General features: G+C 43.4%; 1 protein-coding gene across 8 annotated transcripts in view, besides 3 other annotated features; it reads left to right on the forward strand.

The window, feature by feature from the left end:
• Window positions 10,651-10,850: a silencer, noted in NCBI's record as "silent region_16064". NCBI's record gives its function as "represses an Ori minimal core promoter by ATAC-STARR-seq in GM12878 lymphoblastoid cells {active_cell/tissue: GM12878}" and the evidence as "EXISTENCE:reporter gene assay evidence [ECO:0000049][PMID:35858748]".
• The window catches only part of MAST4 (microtubule associated serine/threonine kinase family member 4), a 573,201-nt gene continuing 570,468 nt past the window's right edge, over window positions 11,015-13,747 (forward strand). For all 8 annotated transcript variants that reach the window (XM_024446044.2, XM_047417157.1, XM_047417158.1 and 5 more), the window contains exon 1: window positions 11,015-11,640. In XM_024446044.2, coding sequence (XP_024301812.1) covers window positions 11,278-11,640 — 363 coding nt within the window. In that variant the 5' untranslated portion in view covers window positions 11,015-11,277. The remainder of the gene's footprint in view (window positions 11,641-13,747) is intronic.
• Window positions 11,461-11,600: a silencer, noted in NCBI's record as "silent region_16065". NCBI's record gives its function as "represses an Ori minimal core promoter by ATAC-STARR-seq in GM12878 lymphoblastoid cells {active_cell/tissue: GM12878}" and the evidence as "EXISTENCE:reporter gene assay evidence [ECO:0000049][PMID:35858748]".
• Window positions 11,611-11,760: a silencer, noted in NCBI's record as "silent region_16066". NCBI's record gives its function as "represses an Ori minimal core promoter by ATAC-STARR-seq in GM12878 lymphoblastoid cells {active_cell/tissue: GM12878}" and the evidence as "EXISTENCE:reporter gene assay evidence [ECO:0000049][PMID:35858748]".

A 13,747-nucleotide genomic window follows, 5' to 3' on the forward strand; every position in this document is an offset into this window, starting at 1 on the left:
TAAGGCTGTTGGAGTAATCTTAGAGTGATGGGGCTTACTTGAGTCAAAGAAATGGAATTTGACATGAGAAAGAAAGGATGATTGGAGAGTTATGGGAAGGAAAAGTCAACAGACTTGATGACTGATTGATTATGGAGAAAATCTTGCCAACTGGAGAGTTAGTTGCATCCTATGGAGGCAACATGATGTAGCTCAGGTTTCCTGTGTGGGCAGCAATGTGAAGAATTCTTCAACTCTTGAGGAGGTAGCTCCTGTTCCTACACTAGACATCAGATTAAATAAGTACAATTAATCTTCATCCAAGCAATATAATATGTAAGATCATGGTTTTAAATTAGGAACTGCAATAGGTCACCGTAATTGTGAATTTCTTCATATTTTTATTTATAAAAAACACTCAAGAAAACATAATAATAACATTGAGAACAATAGCAACCAACAATTGAACTTCATACTATCTGGAATTTCACCCTATTCAAGAAGAGCTCTTGGCTTTCCCTGTTGGTAATCCATATTTCCATTGGTATGAACAGGCTAAGAATGGATACCACTCACTGTTTTTATTTATGGTCCATTCTACAGCTTTGAAATTAAGTTGACATTGGGTGTTAGCAGATATTCATTACCTTTCTAAAATGCCACTTAAAACACTGATTGCTTGGGGAGTGGGTGGCAAAGGAGAAATCTCATACTCAGATGGTTGATCCCATTCATAAAAGGCTACATTTAGAAATTCTCCTGTATTTACGGTGTACACTGTTACTTCTGCTAGTGGGCCAGGCTGACTCTCCTGGGCTTCTTTGCATCTTTTCTGTTTTAAAATAATCTTTGTCTTGTTTCTGGAGTAAAGCTTTTGTGTTCTGTAAAATATTATGCATGTTGACAACAAGACACAAATAATGAACCATCTAAAGCAACATTCCAGCTAGCTAACAAAATTTGAGAGGCTGATTTATACTAGAATTTTCAAAAAAAGCACAACAAATGAAAAGGAGGGAAGAAACAACCCACTAGAAATGAAAAAAATAAGATATAAACAAATCTTTCTTCACAAAGAACATCCCACGTATGGATGCCTGTGAGACTCAGAAATTACTCAGTCCTAGAAGTTGTGAGCCAAGTCTTCTCTGAGGTGCTTTTCTTTCCCCCCAAAGAAGTCATACCAGGTATATATAGAGAGATCTATAATGCCCTTCTGTTGGGGGAATGAAAGCACTTTCAAAACAATCTCATAACATTGTGATGGAGGAAATGATGGCAGGTTTTATATTACCCCATCATACAGGTGATGGAGGCCCTGATAAATGGAGTCAGTGGCAAAGTCACAAATAGCAGCCAGGCCTTCTGATGTACAGCTAAGACTTCAGCAGTTAAATGAAAAATATGTTCCTGGTTTGCTCAGCCCTTTGTCATCTTTCAGACAGAACCTTTCTCATTGGTTTTAACCTTTGTTCATTCCGGCACAGACATGCATTCCCCCCACTTCCAAGAGACAGGGCTCTTGACTCTAATTTTAAATTTGAATCTTATATTACAAAATTATATCACAAATAATAAATGCTAAGATCAAACATCAAAAATATAGTTGGAGAGTCAAACTCATAAAAGCAGAAAGTAAAATGTTGGTTGCCTGGGGCTAAGGGGAGGGGAGATGGGAAGTTGCTGTTCAATGTGTATTGTTTCAGTTATATGAAAGAGTTCTAGATATCTGCTGTAAAACATTGTGCCTGTAGTTAATGATAATGTTCTGTAAACAAAAATTTGTTAAGAGGCTGATTTCATGTCATGTGAGTTTTTTAACCCCAATTAAAAAAATATAATTGGAATATACCCCTGCCCCAACAATAATAGCTTTATGACCATATGACCATAAACTGACCTACTACAACTTTGGGGAGTGCAGTGATACTTTACCATTTGGGGAGTTATACACCCCTTTTGAATCTGATAAAAGCTGTGCATGATCTCCCCAGAAAGATACACATCCACAATTACACAGGCTCCTGAAGCCACTTCCATGGTTCCATGAAAATCTTGGTTAAGAACCCAATATAGAAGGGAGAGCATGGACTTGAGAGAGACCTTGGATTAAATCTTTGCCCCATCTTACTGTGTGACTTTGAGAAAAACTATTTAATTTCTCAGCACTCATTTTTCTACTTGTAAAATGGGAATTGAGCCCTTGAAGTGGGGTTATTGAGGAGATTAAATACATAATGCACATAAAGCATTTAGTACAGTGTCTAGCATATAGAATGTGTTTAGTACGTGATAATTCTTTTCCCTGATGAGATATTTAGTGGAGAAATGACTCTAATGTTTGGAGCAGGCATGCTGAAGCTGATGCTCAGGCCCACATCTACCTGATGGCTGAAAACATTATGCTAGGGGCAGATTGGTACAATTAATCAAGGGTTGGAGCCTTTTAAAGTCAAATCATTTTGGTTTACCCTGTTAGCCAAATCTTTTAATACTCCTTCTACATTATGATGGTTCCCCGTGGTGTGAATCCCATCTTCCCAAGATAGCATGCAAAGCTCCCACATTTCTCAGTTTCTTTGCCGCCAGGGTGCAGTCATGTGACTTGGGTTCTGCTAATCAGATGCACATACAGAGATGCAGATACAGAAGTGATGCATATGAGGAAGCAGGTGGGGTGCAGGACATCAATTCTGCAGGCACAGATGGTGGGAAAACCAACATGGTTTTGGAATCGTGAGGAACAGCCATTTCCTTCCCTGCCAGTTCTGCATTGAGGTTCTGCGGACTGTGGAAGCTCACTCCAGAGCCTGTTTCTTCACTTTTTCCAAAGACTCAGTGAGCGTTCTAATGTCTTCTAATAATCCACTTCCTATTTAAACCAAATAGAATAGATTCCATGATTGGCAATTAAGAACCCTGACTTTCATAATGCTGATGTCCCACTATTTCATTTTATCTTCCTCCTGCCACAATTCCCTTGTTAATTCTGCAACAAGAATAAGTGTAATAAGGGATCCTGATATTCTTACATGAGTGAAATTTACATAAGAATGGGGCTTTCTATAAACAAGGGGCATAGACTCTTCCCACCTTGATTAGTGTCCTGAGTGATGTCTTTGGGATGCCTGCAAGAAGAATTTTGCAGCTTTAGTCTCGAGAGCTCCTTAAGTGTTCCTTCCACCCTATTCACCATATTCATGCAAGCATTGCTTATTAATTTGGATGTTTTAGGAAGGCAAATAGTTGCAAAGAAACTACTATGAGCATGACAGAATAATAGTGGTTTGAATGGAAGCGTTCTATGCAATTATTATTTTTATTAAAATGAAGGACTATTCAGGAATGAGGCCACTTTACTAAACAGATGCTTTTTTTCCTCCTAAAATATTTTGGGTTCTTTGATCAGCCTATACAATGCTTAAACTTTTTTTTTTGGATGAACACAGACTTTTAATAAAGCTGGTTTAAAGTCGCATGGTGGCAATGTTCTCAATTCATTCAATAAGTATTTATCATGAACTACCATATGCCAGATATTGTGCTAGGTGCTAGCGCAAATAAGATGCTGAATCAGTAAGATGCAGTAAGCTCTCTTGCCCTCAAGACTCTTGTAACCTAGCAGGAAGACAGACAGACAACTCCAACATAGTGTGGTGCCAGGATCTGTTTCTTCCAGAACTGGAAATGGTCTTTTTTTCTGCCAGGGCACTCTTTTTTTTTTTTTTTAAGTAGTTTAACCTCCAGTAAGAGGGATTTCTTCTTATACCTGAAACGTTAATAAGATTGCTAAAATTTGGTGGAAACAGCACTCTTATCAAGGTCAGGAATACATCATTAAGTTTAGTATCATTAATAGCTTTTGGATTGCATTCAGATGTCTTATTTCCACCTGGACTGGGTGGAAATATAGGTCAGCACACCTGTATTTCTTAGGGTTCCTTGGTGGCAAGCAACTGCTGACTTTAGCTAATTCAATCAGAAGGAAGTTTAATGGTAGTTCAGAAAATGAAAGGAAAAGCTGGAGAATAAGACTTGGAAAAGTACTGGAACCGTAGCCGCTCTGGATCTGGTTAATGGGAACTAATTGATAGTCTTGTCCAGATACCACTGATCTTGTGTTATTCTTCTCAAGATTCAAAGTCCAAAGATAGCCCAATCCTGGGTTGACAAGGTTGAGACTGCTCAGAAGGAAATATGTAATTCCTTAAAAATAAACTGGGATGTTCTCACCAAAAGAAAGCAGAATGGATATAAGCAGCCAGATTCCAAATATTCTACCATTATGTTTATGCTTTGAGTATGAGATTCTCATGTTGCTATCCATGGACATTTTCCTGGGTGGAGATTGGCTTTGAACAGTGATGTTGTTACTCACAATGTTGTTCTCGACCCAAGCTTGGCCACTTGGTTAAGGCAAGATAGGAAAAAAAATTATTTTCCTTGTGTAAGGAGAAAGGAGGAAGGGAGGAATGGGGTCACTGAGGGCTGAAGTGGTAGTTCTCAGCCTTGGCTACCATCAGCATTACCGAGGGACTTTTGCATTTTAATTATTTATTTTAAACTAATTTTAGACTTTAGAAAAGTTGTAAAAATAAAAAAACCGAAAGAGTCCCTAGTACCCTTTTACTAGGAGTACCCTAGTCCCTGTTACCCTGCTTCTCCTAGTAACATAATTATAATAACAATATAGTTATCAAGAACAGGCAATTAGCATTGGTACAATATTATTTAGTAAACTACGGATTTTTCACCATTTTTTTTCCTCATGTACTTTTTTTTTTATTCCAGGATCTTACCCAAGATCCCAAATTGTATTTAGGTGTTACTTTTTAGTTCCTGAAACGGTTCATCACACTTTAATTATCTTTCACAACCCTGATACTTCTGAAGAGTAAGAACAGTCATTCTGTACGATGTCCCTCAATTTGGGTTGGCTGTGTTTTCTCATGATTGAAGTTATGCATTTTTGTCAAGAATACCACAAAGGTGAGGTTGTGCATTATAGCAAGGGGCTCAGGATGTTGATATGTATTAATAGTGATGTTTCTATGGTTAAGTTGCTGTTTCCTAAGGTTTTCATTGTAAAGTGACTATCTTTGTATTGGTAAGTACGTTAGGGGAAGGATTTTAAGTCTATGCAAATCCTTTTCTTCTCAGACTTTTGCCCACAAATTTTGATGTACATTTTTGGGTCCTGTCAACCCAAAACAATGATTGCTGTGGTGTTCTCCTAATGGTGGTTCTCTATTTCCCTCTTTTCTATGTTTATTAATTGGACCTCTATTGTGAGGAAGAGCTGTCTCTGCTCCTCTGCTTACTTTTAAATTTATTTCATTATTTATTTATATGAGTGTGGACTCATGGATATTTATTTTAGTCTATGACTTAAAACCCAATGCTATCATTATTTGTTATTATAATTTGAATTTATTTTTCAAATTGCTCCAGCTTTGGCCATTGAGAGCTCCCTTAGACTGGCATCTGCTTTCTTTCAGTAAGATCCCATCTTTTGTTGAGCATTTCCTTAATTTGTGCACCATGAATTATTCAAGGCTTATCTTGTATTTTACCTGCTTTGGCCCTAAAATCAGCCACTTCCCACCTGGGGAAGTCGTTAAATCCTAGTGTCCATACCCCAGTCCAAGTCAATCAAATCAGAAGAGCTTAGGGGTGGGACCCAGGTGTAGGTAGTTTTAAAAAGTTCCACAGGTGATTCTAATGTGCAGCTGAGTTTAAAAATCACTGGACTAGAGTGGTACTCTGCTAACGTTAATGTGTCTATGAAGCCCCTGGGAATCTTATTAAGACTGATTGAGTAGGTCTGGGGCAGGGACCAAGAGTCTGCATTTCTAACAAGCTCCCACATCTGCTCATTGGCAGATCACACACTGAGAAAAAAGGGGCTAGAAGATGGTATTTCTTCAAGTACCAAAAGCCTTAAAAAGTATTCGCAGGGTTGCAAAGTGGCTTGTGGCTGCAGAGAAACTCATATTTGCTAGCTAACTATTCAGCATTATTTTATTTTCTAATTAGTTGGCATTAGTGGTAGAAAGAACTACTTGCCATATAGCATAGATAGTCAAGGAGATTGCTCTAAGAATTGAAAATAGAAAATGACTCAGAAAGCAAACCTCCTTAATGAATAAAAGCTAGTAAATGTATTTGCCTGTCTTCTATTTCCTCAACAGGCAAAAAGTACTGAATACATCTTTTGGAAAAATGAAAAGTGATAAAAGAACATTTCATGCTGAAAGCATAGCAAGAAAATCCCAGATGTGAGTATCCGTTTTGGAAAGACAAATGCAAAAGATTGGAGTCTTCTGTGGGAAATAGGTCACCATTTTGTATTTTGTTTAAACAGAATCCTCAAGGGAACATCATCCTCAGTTCTTTTTGTGTATTAGCTCAGATTTTCCAGCTGTTTTTAGAGCATGCATATTCCTGTCCAGCTGCTAAGCTGTCTTTGTCTCCTCAAGGTGGTTGGTCTCTAGGAGAATAAGAAACAGGTCCAACAAGGTGCAGTCAAGATCATTCCAACCACCTTCTTTCTATAGAGCCAGGCACATTTGTCCCATAAAATGTCTCTTTGATCTCCAAATTAGGCCCATCTTCAGTAATACTCAAGGCTCAGAATACTTGATACTTCTTTGGGGTAGTCCTTTAAAAATACAGATTCCCAGATCTTTGGGTGGGGCCAGGAAGCCAGCATCTCCCACTCCCCTGGTCATCTGATGCAAGTGTTCCACATACAACACATTCAGAAACTTTGATCAGAGAAATCAGATCAGCAGCATACTCCTCTTTGGTCCATCACAGGCTTGTTTTAATTCGCTAACTTAGCTTAGTTTCCCATCCTTCTCAACACCTAGGTCAGAGAACCCAATAGCGGCAATTCACATTATTCCTCTTCCTCCCCTGTTCTTTTTGACCATCATTTAAAAATCCTTTGACTTATCTTCTGGAGCTTTGTATAGTAACACTCGTTCCTTTCCTTAGATACAAACAAAAGCTTGAGAGGCTCCACGGGCTTTTCCTCCTGGCTGGATGATCAGAAACTTCCATGGTCTGTATCATGCTACACCCTCGGGTATAAATCGGAAACCCCAATCTAGCGCATCTCAACAGACACCTTTTGATAGATGCTTACTTTGTCTTGAAATTGTACTTTATTAGTCATAGGGGAGTAGGCAAATCCATCATTAACAATGATAATAAAAATAGTCTACCAAAGTTGGATAATATAATCATCTTCATAATTCAAAGATAATCTGATATTTAGGATTTTTAGTGCATTAAATAGAAACATATTTACTTGTGATTTTGCAAAAATGTTCGTTCTGAGTTCATGATGTTCTAATTTCATCTATGTAAGAAAGAAGGACAACTGACCTTCCTCCCAACCTGATGTTTGGGAGAAAGGTCATGACACTGGGAGTAGACTTAAGGGTATGATGACTTTGCTGGAACATCGTCCATCTGGCAGAGACAGCTTGACATTCACAATAGGCCTCACCTACACAGCAGAGACTGGCAGAGACAACAGAGACTCCCAGAGGAAATGTCTCCCGTCACTTCTGAGAAAAACATAGAAACCGGAGGGGGGCATTCAATCACAAAACACAATGAATACTTACCGGATTCCCAGGGGTGCTGTCCTTGAATCAAATACTTTGTGAGCATGTCTCACAGAACACATGGAAACTGATTACCTTGGAGTACACCGACCTTGTCTCTCCTCGCCTTAGGCTAGTCTGGTTCTGTCATGTGACGCTACACTATTGGCTTTTCAGGAGTTGTGATGATGTTGTTTTTATTTTTCTGGCTCCTGCCTATGGTGACACTGCAGAGAAAAACCTGTGCTTTCACACTCACCTCTGGTCCCACAGTCTCCAACACTAGACACGTTTATAAAAAGGTCTCTTGGAGGGGGCACATTTCTGACCACTGAGGAAAATATTTATTATTTAATTAACAAGATAGGAAAGTTGAACTTCAGGATTTGGATAAATCAAAACTGATTTTGGTCCAGTGGTTTGGCCACACCCCAGGAAATTTATCCATGGGTCTAACTAGGATACTTTTGGGGAACTATCCTGACTCTCTAGTCATCTTCTATTTATAGTTATCCTTTGAGTTGGCCATGTTCTGGTCTGGATACTCTTAGCCTGAACTACAGTTTATTTCCCTCACAGGTGGGTGTGGAGATGAACAAGTACACTTTTAAACTGCAAGTTTTGAAGTAGAGTTTGAAATCTATTTAGTGGACTACAACTAGCATCTTTATTTTTAATAAAATATAAATTTCAGGGTGCATTGCTTAAAGGATGGGTAAGTATTGTCTCATGACATTTTATTTGTATTTGTACATATGCATATGTGTCATGAGTTCCAGTGTGAAATATATTTCTTATTTGAGGTTCAGGTTTAAAAAGTTCAAGAAATACTGATCTAGTACTTGACTTTGATCTGTAGAGGTTAAGAGCACAAATGCTGGGACCAAATGTTCAAATCTGAATCCTGGGTCCATCATTTGCTAGCTGTGTGACTTTAGCTGAATTACTTAACTTCTCTGTCATAGTTTTCACATATTTCACAAATATGATATGAGAATAGTAATAGTAGCTACCTCATTGGGCTGGTATGAGAATTGAGTATATTAACATTTTAAAGTGCTTAAAATCCTGCCTGGCACATAGTAAGTACCTTAAAAATGTTTGTGGGAAAAACAAATATGTTCCTCAAGTATTTTCTTTTACAGATTGAATCAATACAGCAAAGTTTCTTCCCTATGGATATTTATAATATGGTATATATATATATTTGAAAAAGCTGTCTGTTTTGAGTGGCATTGTATTAATACTAGAATGCCTAGGAAAGACAGCCTTGGAATCAGGTTGCTGGGTTCCAAACCACAGCTCCACTGCTTACTTGCTGTGTGACCTTTGCAGATCCTCAGTTTCTTAATCAATAAAGTGGGACTAATAGAATCTGTTTCACAAGGTTGTTGCCAGGATTAAATGAGACCATCCAGAGAAGATGCAGAGGACTCAGGCGATAATAACTATTGTCATTCTTGCTGTCGGTTATTCAGACCATGACCTTGCTTCTTATTTCCCTATGTACTGAAAAGCAACTCCTCCTCTTCTTTTATGTGCATGGCTGAAATTGTCATTTCAGTTCAGCTCTGGTGAATCAACCACGTAGGGGCTCAGATAAAGACCAGAACTCCTAAATAGGAAAGTAATTGTGAGGCCCGGGTTAAATTCGGACTGCCCCACTGTGCTCTCTCTTTAGCCTTGCTCTCACAACTTAGCTGCCACTAGACTTGACCTTTTGCCTCAGCAGGTCTTCATATCCCTGTGAATAATTCAGAAGCGTCACAATGAAAGCCTGACAACCGGAGTCCATTTTGCAGTATGGCTGTCTGAAGCAAGATAGACAAAACGTATTTCCTTCCCCTTCATCTTGAGGGGAGGAAACTGATCAGGACAAAGGTTGCTGTCCAATATGATGAAGCCCTCTGTGTGATGTATCACTTGTAAATACCATGATAGCATGAAAGGCTCATTAGCTGAAGGGGCTTTCAATTAGGGTCCTCCAGTTTTTAAGGACCTTTGGCAAGGCTGCTCTGACAAAGAGAAATCTAAGATGCTCAAGGACCTGCTACTGTTTTTCTGTAACTCTTTCCTCTTCTCCCTCACACATTTTTCCTGTATCACTTATCACAGCTTCTAAAATGGATAAGGGAGCTATATTATGCAGTATCAATCTCTCGCTTGACCATAAGCTGCTCAAGGGCAGGGGACCTGACTTATTAATCTTTGTATCCCCTGCACCTGGCACACATCTCCATCAACGTACATGGAACTGAGGCGGTTGAATTTACATCCCAGGTCACTGTGCCAGAGCTCAGAATGGGACTAGAGCTGAAGGCAAGAGAGGAATCATTTATTTCCCACTGCTGAGCTGAGTGCTGGCTTCCAAGGAAATTCCAGTCACCGGACAGGCAGCATCCTCCAGCCCCAGGGAAGGACTTAAGGGTACTCTATTGGTACCTTTAGTGAAAGTTCTTTCTCCTAGTTCTTAGAGGTAAGGAAAATGAAGCAACCTGTCCTGTATCCTGTTGGTTTACAACCCAGGGCTAGGAGAATGTACATTGGAAAGTGAATCCTTTTCATCCTCTGCTTAGCTGATCATACCGAGACAGACAATTTGAGTAGGACTACAGAGCTTGGTCCTAATTAAATACAAGGACATACTTTTTTATCTTCCTCCCTATCAAAAGGTTCAAGTCTCAGACTTAACTTTTTAGTTTACAAACAGAAATAAAGACAGGAAATAGTCTTTTAAAAACGCTCCGTGTATCCAAGCCAGGCACTTTGCTGATGCATTATATATATTTGCTCTAAGCCTGCCAAGACCAGTAGTAATGTAGCCATTTACAGTTGAGGAAACTGAGGCCCAAAGAGCTTAAACGGAAAAGCAGAGATTAGAGGTCACTCCCCTTTGGGTCCGCTCACTATACCACGAAGTTTCTGTCCTTTTCCTCCAACACGCTGGTGAGTCCGTGTGCGTGGGTGACTGTGTGTGTGTGGTTCCTTTTTTCCCTATAGAGCCCTCCTTCTTGTCCGTTTTCTTGATTCCACTTTTTGGAGACAAAGTCCAGTTCTTCTCCAAGGTCTCACCATCCGCTCGCCGTCTCCCTCTGACGTCCCAAGGACGGTCAGCCACTCCCCCGCTAAGTTCGGAGTCTCAGCCCTTGGCTCCGATTCTGGGCTCCGCCCCCACCCTCCGGGGACCCCCGCCTGGTCCCTGTCCCCTGCGCCCAGGCGCTCCAGCGGGACCACGGCCCGCGCCCGGGCCCCGCCTCCCCTACCTGAGGCCCTCATGGCCGGAGGCGTCGCAGCCTCCGCCCACCAGCGCGCCTGCCCTGCCATTGGCTCTGCGGGCTGCCCGTCTCCTTGCTCCGTCCCGGAGGCAGGTTTTGCAAGGAGAAGCCGCAGTACCCGCGGCTCGGGTGCAGCGCGGGAGCACAGTGGAGCGCAGATCGCGGACCCGAGCGGGCATGTCCCCGCGCGCGGGAGCCTCCGTTTGCGGCCGGGCCCGGGCGGCTGTGAACTTAGCAGCGGGCTCCTGCGGCCCCGTCACTGCCATGTAGTCGCTGGCGGGGCTCCCTGCAGCCCGGGAGCGGCAGTGCCAGTGAGCCTGAGCCCAGGAGCCCGCGTCTTCCCCGGGAGGCGCTGAGTGCGCGCCGCGCCCCCGCCGCTCGGGAGGCACTTTGGGCCAGACAGGGAAATGGGGGAGAAAGTTTCGGAGGCGCCAGAGCCGGTGCCCCGCGGCTGCAGTGGCCACGGCAGCCGGACTCCAGCCTCTGCGCTGGTCGCCGCGTCCTCTCCGGGTGCTTCCTCGGCCGAGTCCTCCTCGGGCTCAGAAACTCTGTCGGAGGAAGGGGAGCCCGGCGGCTTCTCCAGAGAGCATCAGCCGCCGCCGCCGCCGCCGTTGGGAGGCACCCTGGGCGCCCGGGCGCCCGCCGCGTGGGCTCCGGCAAGCGTGCTGCTGGAGCGCGGAGTCCTTGCGCTGCCGCCGCCGCTTCCCGGAGGAGCTGTGCCGCCCGCGCCCCGGGGCAGCAGCGCGTCCCAGGAGGAGCAGGACGAGGAGGTGGGCCTTTCCCCAGCTTGCCCACTCTGGGTTCCGGCAGCCGGGCGACCGTAGTTTCCCATCCTGCGCACAGGCAGTGGGCAGGAGAGCGCTGTGGCCTGGAGATAGGGAGGGACCCCAAGCGCTCTGCCCCGAGCACGGGACAACGATAGTTAGGAGCCCCCCTGTGGGTTATTGACTTCCCTGTGGCTGTTACCCCCGTGTGTGTGTCTCAGTGTGCTGCCTGATGGTGTGTTTTTAAAATGTCAGAGAAGCAAACTCCTTCGTGTTTGTATCTGACTTGGTTGATCTGTGAAAGGATGCGATCTGGACATCTGGCGTGTCCCCACAACTCACCTCTGATTCTCCAAAGTGGGCGTTGTTTCCCACCGAAGCGCTTGGGCCGAGGGGCAGGGAGTTGAGGGGGAGAAATGGTGCCTTGGGGGTAAGAGGCAGGAGTAGGGTGGGGGGCAGCGGTAGCCGCGGAGTTGCCTGCGGAGGTTTCAGTGGCGCCAGCCCCCTGGGATCGCCCGCGGGTGGTTTTGGCGCGTCCCCGCAGCGTCGGTCCTCTGGGAGAAGAGGACTCCCCGCGCTCCCTCGGTGGCGCTGGCGTGCGCGCCTGCAGCTCCCGTTCAGACTTGTTTCCAGCTTGTCCAGATGAACGCTTGTCACCAAACCGAGTACAGATCGTCTTACCTTTTGCGGGGCGGAGCGGGGTGGGGGATCTGTATCTGCCCAGTTTCCTGGAAGGATGTTCCTCCAGAACTTGTGGGTCGCTTCCTGACACACTGAGCATAGGACTCTGGTGTCCTTCTGGCTGCTCTGTCCGGCTTATTTTCTGCTTTTGGAGGACAGTTAAAGAAGTGTACAATTCTTCACGTCTCAGAGCCAGACTCAGTTTAAAAAAAAAAAAGATTGTTTGCTTTGGACGTTTCTTGTGGGGAAGTCATCTTGATCAGGCAGGGCCACAAATAAAACATCACCTTAACATAGACTTATTGTGAAATTAATTCCTGAGTGCCAGTGTTGTATTTTCCTCATCTTGGATGGGGTTAGCTTTAGTAAATAATTGCCTTTGTCCCTTAGAGTAAGCAATCAGAGGCCCCCAGCCTGGAAGCAAAAACTGGATGTGGCACAAGGTTGAGAGGAGGCGAGTCCTAGCTTGGCAGAGATGGAACAAGCCTTAGCTGCTTAGCTGGTTCTTGGCCAAGCCACTTGCAGTAACCATGACCCATTCCCTAATTCCCCTAAGCCCCCATTGCAAGGATCCTGGATAAGGGTCTGGAGGCCTGCTTTCTAGAACTGCCTCTGCTACTGAGTGGTGAGACCTTGGGTATATCATTTCACTCCTCTGAGGTTCAGTTCCATAATCTGTAAAAGGAGGAGCTTCAAGGTAAATTTCATTTTCACTCTCATACTCCTGTTTCGAATCAGGAATTTCAGATGAATCCATAGCTCCAAATCGATCCTAGCGGCGGGATGTCAGGAGTTTGCTGAGTTCCTCACCCACCGCAGAGCTACATCCTAGCGGAGATGATCAAACCCTGTACTGCCCCAGCCTTCCTCGCTGATTACATCTCCCTTTCAAGGTGCGGGGCATGTGCCACGTGTTTGCCCCTTAACTTCTGCCTCCACTTCTACAGATGAGCACACTGGCATTGGGAAGCTGGGGGTGTACCCTAACTTAATGATTCACCAATAGTTCCTAATTTAGTATTGCCGCTGGTGGAGAGTAGTTAGTTGCTTTATGTTTTCTATTTAGCTAGGAGGGTGCTCCATGGTAAGTGACATGGTCTTGCAGGTGGTGGGGAGGGATGTTGTCGGGGAACTTCTGATCCCCATTCTGTCGCTGATTTATTGCCTGGCCTCAGGGTGACAGTGCTTTGCTTTGTTGGAAGTGGATATAATGATAACTTATTTCACAGGCAATGCAGTGAGAACTGGTTGATTGAAACACATTTTGGAAAGTGGAATGATTAAATAACATGGGTCACTATTTGTGAAATCTCAGAATTGCGTGTAAACTGATACAGTATTGCAATTTATTATGTAACTTAACCTGCGGCATGGGATGCTGGAAATTTCCCAGGAGCAAAATCTTGACTTGCTCTGAGAATTTTAAAGTGAA

The sequence above is a fragment of the Homo sapiens genome, chromosome 5 (genome assembly GCF_000001405.40).
Source record: "Homo sapiens chromosome 5, GRCh38.p14 Primary Assembly".
NCBI classification, from domain to species: Eukaryota; Metazoa; Chordata; class Mammalia; order Primates; family Hominidae; genus Homo; species Homo sapiens.